The sequence below is a fragment of the Homo sapiens genome, chromosome 4 (assembly GCF_000001405.40).
Source record: "Homo sapiens chromosome 4, GRCh38.p14 Primary Assembly".
NCBI classification, from domain to species: Eukaryota; Metazoa; Chordata; class Mammalia; order Primates; family Hominidae; genus Homo; species Homo sapiens.
The window spans coordinates 177385619-177393664 of NC_000004.12; the positions used below are offsets into that span (position 1 = coordinate 177385619).

Sequence of the window (8046 nt, forward strand, 5' to 3'; positions counted from 1 at the left end):
GTTCCTAAAGAAAAATTCCACACATACTTCACACAGCTATGCAACTGGAAAAGAGAAGAATATTTTAATCGCCTTCTCAGATAATGTTGAATTTCCTTCTTTGATATGACACCAAAACTTGACAAGTGATAATTTCTTAAAGCAATATGCAATGTAGAAACTGAAACCACATCAATGAACTTGTTTTTGTGTGCTGCATGAAGTTCCACTGCTCTGTCTTGTGATCAAATAGGGGTCTTTTGTTCATGCATAATATTGTACATCCAGGCATTTGGAAAATATTGACTAATTGATTATGCAGCTCTTACAAATGTTGATGATTTTATTATACAATATAAAAATACTTATAATTACTGATCTCATAAGAAAAGTCTCTAAGTAGTGGGAAGCTGTTAAATCCCATGGTTGTGGATGTATTTCAAAATGTAATTTGTACATGAAAGCTCTAATTTTACTGCTGACAATAATACATACTGACAGCTATTCCCTTGAGGTATCAGGCTTACATCATTTATTTTCAATAAAATCTCTGCCAAATATCCAAGTCTGTATAGTTTGTGTGTTAGCCATTCTTTCAAGTAAAAAGAGTGTTTACGAAAACACTGGCTAATTTTAGCTCACAACTCAATCACACAAGTGTTTTTCCTCAAGACATACTTTAGTATGCAGCAGATACAATTCATGCATAATTCTCATTTTGTCAAAGAACACAAAGTGAAGGGTTGACATTTAATCAAATTAATATTTTTCCTGCTTCATCATCAAGGACATTCTTAAGAGAAACTAATTTTTTTTTTTAACTGCAAGTGTGTAGCTGCAAAAACAAATGATGATAATTAGTACAATTTGGTGTCACCGTCTTGATGTGTGCTGAGGCACCAGCAGTTTTACCCATCATTGTTTTTGCACCAAATGTCAACACAGAGAATCACTGCAGATATCAACACAAGGAAAAGGCAAACAATGCCCTAGCATTACTATGAAAAGAGTTATGACGTCACAGACCATGTGAGAGTGTTTCCGGAACCCCCGGGCCCCGGTGCACCACACTTGGAGAAGTGCTGCCTTGATGCAGGGGATTTCAAACCCTGGTTGCCAATTAAAACAATGTAGAGAGCTTTTATATATACACATACATACACACACATACACACACACAAACATATATGCATACATATCCATATCCATATATTATATATACATACATATATACATATACATTACATATATACACACATTTACATACATATATACATATACATGGACATTACATATACACACACACATATACTTACATATCTTGAGATGCATCTATGTTTCTCAGGCTGGTCTCTAACTCCTGGGTTTAAGCAATTCTCCCACTTTCAGCATCCCAAGTAGCTAGGATTACAGGCGTGAGCCACCACACACAGGTAGCTTTTAAAAAATACATATGCTGGGCCGGGCGCGGTGGCTCACGCCTGTAATCCCAGCACTTTGGGAGGCCGAGGCGGGCGGATCATGAGGTCAGGAGATCGAGACCATCCTGGCTAACACAGTGAAACCCCGTCTCTACTAAAAATACAAAAAAATTAGCTGGGCGTGGTGGTGGCTGCCTGTAGTCCCAGCTACTCGGCAGGCTGAGGAAGGAGAATGGCGTGAACCTGGGAGGCGGAGCTTGCAGTGAGCCAAGATCACGCCGCTGCACTCCAGCCTGGGCGACAAAGCAAGACTCCGTCTCAAAAAAAAAAAAAAAAAAAAAAAATACGTATGCTGGCCAGGTGTGGTGGCTCATGCCTGTAATCCCAGCACTTTGGGAGGCCGAGGCAGGCAGATCACAAGGTTAGGAGTTCGAGACCAGCCTGGCCAAGATGGTGAAACCCTGTCTCTACTAAAAATGCAAAAAATTAGCCAGGCGTGTTGGCGCACTCCTGTAGTCCCAGCTGCCCAGGAGGTGGAGGCAGAAGAATCGCTTGAACCCAGGAGGTGGACGTTGCAGTGAGCCAAAATTATGCCACTGCACTCCAGCCTGGGTGACAGAGTGAGACTCCGTCTCAAAAAAAAAAAAAAAAAAAAAAAAAAAAAAAAAACATATGCTTAGGTCCCAACCAGACCACTGAAATCAGAACCATTGAAAGTGTGGCCCAGGAGTCAGTGTTTTTTTTTTAAAGGTTCCTGGGTGTTTCTACTAAGAACAAGGTTGAGAAACATTGGTCTTGTCTCTATGGTATTTGAACCAGTTTTGAATGCTATGGCCTCTTCTTCCTTGTTTTATTATTCTAACTTTCCCCAAGTTCTTTGATGTGCTAAGCACACTTATCTATGACTCTTCTAACTCATTCAAATCTTACATTCTTTAAGAAATCTTTTCAGACTTTTTTTTTTTTTGAGACAGAGTCTCGCTCTGTCGCCCATGTTGGAGTGCAGTGGTGCGACCTCAGCTCACCGCAACCTCTGCCCCTGGGTTTAAGCAATTCTCCTGCCTCAGCTTCCCGCATAGCTGGGATTACAGGCACGCACCACTGCACCCAGCTAATTTTTGTATTCTTAGTAGAAACAGGGTTTCACCATGTTGGCCAGGCTGGTCTTGAACTCCTGACCTCAGGTGATCCGACTGCCTCAGCCTCCCAAAGTGCTGGGATTACATGTGTGAGCCACCACGCCTGGCCAGTGATGCAATCTTGGCTCACTGCAACCTCCTCCTGGGATCAGGTGATCCTCTCACCTCAGCCCCTGGGTAGCTGGGACTACAGGCACGCACCACCAGGCCCTGCTAATTTTTTTTTTTTTTTTTTTTTTTTTGTATTTTTGTAGAGATAGTATCTCACCATGTTGCCCAGGCTGGTCTCAAGCACCTAGACTCAAGTGATCTGTTCACCTAGGCCTCCCAAAATGCTGGGATTACAGGGGTGAGTCACGGTGCCCGGCCTTAAAATGATTATTAATTAATATATGAACTTGTTGTTGGAAAAGAATATACATTTTTCTTATATTTTCTAATAAGAAGGTACAGAAAATCATATTGCAATTTATTACATTGCTCCTCCCACATAGCACTTTGCTAGATTTTGAATTTTACTTGGTAGGATAGTCTGGCATCATATGGACAAAGAGTTAAACTTGTTTCTATAAATGACAAAATAGCTCTCTCTATATGAGTGACAGAATTTCCTGATGAAAATTAGACCATGAAGCAAAGGTTAATAGTAAGTATAATAAAAATAAGGTTTCCTGGCCAGGAGCAGTGGCTCATGCCTGTAATCCCAGCACTTTGGGAGGCCAAGGTGGGCAGATCATACCAGGTCTAGACATTGAGACCATCCTGGCCAACATGGTGAAACCCCAACTCTACTAAAAATACAAAAATTAACTGGGCATGGTGGCACATGACTGTGGTCCCAGCTACTCGGGAGGCTGAGGCAGGAGAATCGCTTGAACCCGGGAGGCAGAGGTTGCAGTGAGCTGAGATTGCGCCACTGCACTCCAGCCTGGCAACAGAGCGAGACTCCATCTCAAAAAAAGAAAGAGAAAGAAAGGTTTTCTGTTTATAACATCGTTTCCTATGAAAAACCTAAAACACTTATCAAGACAACCTATTATTTTTTGATGCTAACCCTCTCATATCTGAGCAAACTCTTCCCTTAAAGAAATAAAAATGGCCAAGACTCTCGGATGACTAATGACACTAAGAGAGCTGGTGTCAACAATCTGTATCCAGTTCACGGGCCACAGTTCACTAGCCTCCAGCCTGGTTGATAAAACTATGCCCCGTGATAAAACTATTCACAAAATATCATTTGAACACTTTACTATGTGGAATTTAAGATAAGAATTTGGGGATGGGGGAAAAGGTATTTTTCTCCCTTCATAGAGATTGTAGTTCTCAGCTGTTACCAAATTGTCGATATAACACGAAAGAGTGACTGCTCTCTTTCAGAGTCTGAAAGAGAAAGAGAATTCCTCCAGGTCAGAAGAAGAGGATAATGATTTTTTAAGAGTATATCGAGAGATTGATGACATGAAGAAGAATTTCAGGCAGGCAAAGGAAATGGCTGGAAATAAATGTCTCAGGCATAACTGGTTTTCCACAGTTGTCTTTCAGAGCTGCCACAGGGAACAACTTCATAGCCTTATTGAGCATGAAGCAGTTAAAGTTTCCATTAAAATTGGCTAAATTAACTCTCCCGATGCTTTCGGACAAATAGTAAAAGGTCAGGCCTGATGTTTAACTGACTTCATAATATCTGCTTTTCTTTTATTTATTAATATTATTTTCACTTTCCTTTTTATTACCATTGTTTCAAATATGTTATTTAAAGTAACTACACATGAGAATGTTATGAAATAGTGAGGCAATATTAAACCAGTCCAAGCATGGTGCTTCTTTCCATAACCACCTTTATATCTAATTGCAGTCCTCGCCTTCCTGTTTTCTTATTGGACCACTAGGCTGGAATGTCTAAGCTGTGTAAATTCAAGCTCACTAGGCTTTTATCTTTGACAGTGCCTAGTGTCACTTTGGGAATATCTTGGGGAATATGTTACATCTGCACATTTTTTTTTCATTTTATTGTCTTTTCTTCCTTGCAAATTGTTACCTAATGACACATTAACTTGTCAGATTATTTGGTTACTTTCTGTTTCAATCATTTCTATTAATTTAATTTTTCACATCCAGTTTTCATGTTTACCGAGCAATTTTGATGTTCAGTTTGTTTTACTTTCCTTACACTACAAATTTCTTGTTTGAAATCTCCTGCCTTATTTCCAGTTTTTTTTTAAATCCCTTTTCCCTCCCTTTCTTTTCCCTCCTTCCCTCCCTCCCTTCCTCCCTTTCTTCTTTACTGTCTTTCTCTCTTTTTTCTTCCTTACCTGCTTCCTTGCTTTTCTTCCTTACTTCAAAATCATAGGGAAGGCTCACAGATACTCAACAATTATTCAATTGTTACATATTCAAATGGTAAGCATGTAAATGCTTACCATGTCCTAAACACTGTGCCAAGCCCATACATATATATTTTTTTAGTTCTCATAACCATTCTCTGAGGCAGAAATTATCATTCCCCTCATTTTGCAGATATTAAACCTCAGGCTTAGAAAGAACATGTAAACTGACCACGTAAGTCAGTGGCAGAGTCATAGACAGAATTGAGCTACGCTGCCTTTCCCCATAGGGTGAGATTCTCAACCATTCTGCCTGTAACTCTATCTCTGACTATAGCTGCAAAGTGTCCTCTAAAAAAGAAAGGATAACTGTTCTTGATGATATTCACCTCAGAAAAATTAAAGTTTATTCCAAATATCAGAGGCTTCCATTAATAGTATTTTATAAGACTATGATCTATAAATGTGTCCAAAGCCAACCTGAAGTCATTTATGTTTTTTACACTTACTATCTCAAAATGGTAGACTTTTCTAGAAGTTTTATATACATCCTATTAGCTGCTCTTCCTTTTAGACCTTTAAAGTTTCCCTCATTCGTCACCCCTTTCACCTGCATGGCATTTTGCCGGCTCACTGCCACATCTCTTCACTCCCTTCCCTTCCTTCTAACATTTTTGGCTTCTGTCGCATCTCTTCTCCACTTCAACTTTCCAGAGTCCTAATTCAGTTAGTCAATTGTCATTCACTGCCTCTGCTTTCTCTTGATTTCTGTAATTGCACTCCTTATGACCCCTTTCCCGTCCACCATATTCTTCTGAAAGTACAGATCAAATAGATGTCCCAACTTATTTCAGACAGGAAAGCTTTGATTGGGCAAATTATATTGTAAGTACTGTGAGGGCTGGGTTGAAAGAAAAATATGAGACTGAAAGCAGGAAAGCTCTTGCAATAACATGGATAAGAGGCAATGAGGTCTGCTGGGGGGAACCGTGGGCTGTGATGAATGGAATGCAGACAAATATGGGGTAAGATCCACTGCCGCCCACTTGCCAGCTCGGTGGCCCTGGGCAAATCACTGAAGGTCTTTGAGCTTTAGTGCTTTCATTTTCAAGATAAAGGTTGTAATATCTATCTTATTTGTTGCTTCAAGCATCAAAGGAAATACATTTATTTTGGCTTATAGGAGATGCTCCAGAAGTTGCAGTCTTCACAATTTAGATTTGGGGCAATTCGGTTGCAAAGAGAGATAGATAAGGGAAACAAAGACGAGAAGAATAAAAGAATGCCAGTAGGTTCAGTTTGAATTATCTCTGGCTTTCTAAATTCCTAGATTGTTCCTAACCTGCCACAATATATGTGGGTTTTCTTTGTCTTGTTTTCATCTGGAAAAACTTACCATCTTTGAAAAGATATGTTTTTGATAATACTAGCCTATATTACTTGCCAGTTAACTGCTATCTGTGAGTTTCTCTGTATAGGAAGTTGGAGGGGGGTAGTGATGGGAAAAGAAAAAAAGCGGTAGCGGAAGGCAGAAAGGTGGGCAGAAGAAAGATGAGAGTGGAGGGTGGCAGCAAAGGCAAGGTGTTACACAATCTTTCTTTTTGATTCATAGCACACACTTTTCCTGAGTTTGCTCCGGGTTGTTTTCAAAGAGTGTACAGATTTCCTGCTGATTATTGACTCTGCTTTACAATTCCAGCGTTTTGTCATAGTTTGTTTTTTAAAGTTGAGTAACCAAGCACATGTACCTTTGTCTATGCCGCTAATACCTCCTTAGTCACATAACAGCTGTTCCCTGGGTCTCTCCTATAGTGCTGTGACACGTTTGTACCCAGCAAGGAAATCATATCCCTCAGTCATCATTACTTTAGTTCTAATCATTTGCATTTCTATAATCTCTCCTATGATACACATTTGTATTTCAGAATTTCTTGCCCTAGTTAATGTGGGAGAATTAGCTAGAAGGTAAGTTATATAAAAAAATCTGTTTTCTTCCTTGTAATTGTCATCTAGAGGTCTCCCCTACCATTATATCCCTTGAAATTCTGAGTAACTACTGTATATGCTTGTATCTGAGTCTCTTGATCAATCTCAGGGAAAAAAGCATGCTATAGTATTATTATTATTATTATTATTATTGAGATGGAGGCTTGCTCTGTTGCCCAGGCTGGAGTGCAGTGGTGCAATCTCAGCTCACTGCAATCTCCACCTCCTGGGTTCAAGCAATTCCCCTGCCTCAGCCTCCCAAGTAGCTGGGATTACAGGCACCTGCCACCACTCCTGGCTAGTTTTTTGTATTTTTAGTAGGAAAGATGCGGGAAAACACAAAGCTGGGCTAGGGTGGTCTGGATTAAGAGAGAGGCCGTGAGTTGGGGAAATCAAAGGTTTACCACCTTCCAAACCACCACTATTTGCAGCCCTCCTGTTTGTCCTCTGCTAGCCAATGCTTCCCCACTCTCCCATTCTGCCTGTGGGTTGCCCCCTTTAGTCCTGACCTCCATCCCATCTCTCCTCCTTCCACCCATCCCAATCAAATATCTCTAATTTGGTAATTAAGAAGGATGTTCATCTAACTAGAATATTCACACCAGCGAATGGATGAGGCTTAACCCCTTCAGAGATCATTTCCATTTTAAAGCTGTAAAAATGAAGAAAGGGAATATTGGGAAAGAAATGGCCAGATCCTGCATTTTTGGTGACCCCATATCTGCTTTTCTAGAGGGCCAAGAGATGAAAATTATTCTGGCTGCATAATTTATAGCTATATGGATTTGAATTGTTGCTTTCCTCTTGCTTCTCTCTGACTTGACCAAGCACGTAGCTAGGCCTTTGTGCCGCTGTGCACGAGGGAAGCTTCATGCAGAAGGAAGGCGGGGAGTAAGTGTGGTTTGTGGTGAACTCTTTCTCGTGATCTTTGTTTTCAAGAATCCTGAGCTCCTCTAGGGGTCTGTACTAGAGCAGAAGGCAGGGAGACCAGGGCCTTTGAGCACAGTGCTCTAGAAGGAAACTGCTGCAGTGTGAGCTCGGTGGACTGTACTCCAGTTAGAGGGTCTCAGCTTTGTCCCAGGCTGTGAGGGGCACAGGAGTAACAAACCTGAACCTCAGAGGATACGTGGGTCTGAACATGAACACGTGTAAGGCATATAGGTGGGCTGGTCATAGGAGGACTGTCCCCATCTAGGC

At 40.8% G+C, this 8046-nt stretch overlaps 1 annotated feature.

Annotated features, from left to right (window-relative positions):
* Positions 7752-7811: a silencer, noted in NCBI's record as "silent region_15819". NCBI's record gives its function as "represses an Ori minimal core promoter by ATAC-STARR-seq in GM12878 lymphoblastoid cells {active_cell/tissue: GM12878}" and the evidence as "EXISTENCE:reporter gene assay evidence [ECO:0000049][PMID:35858748]".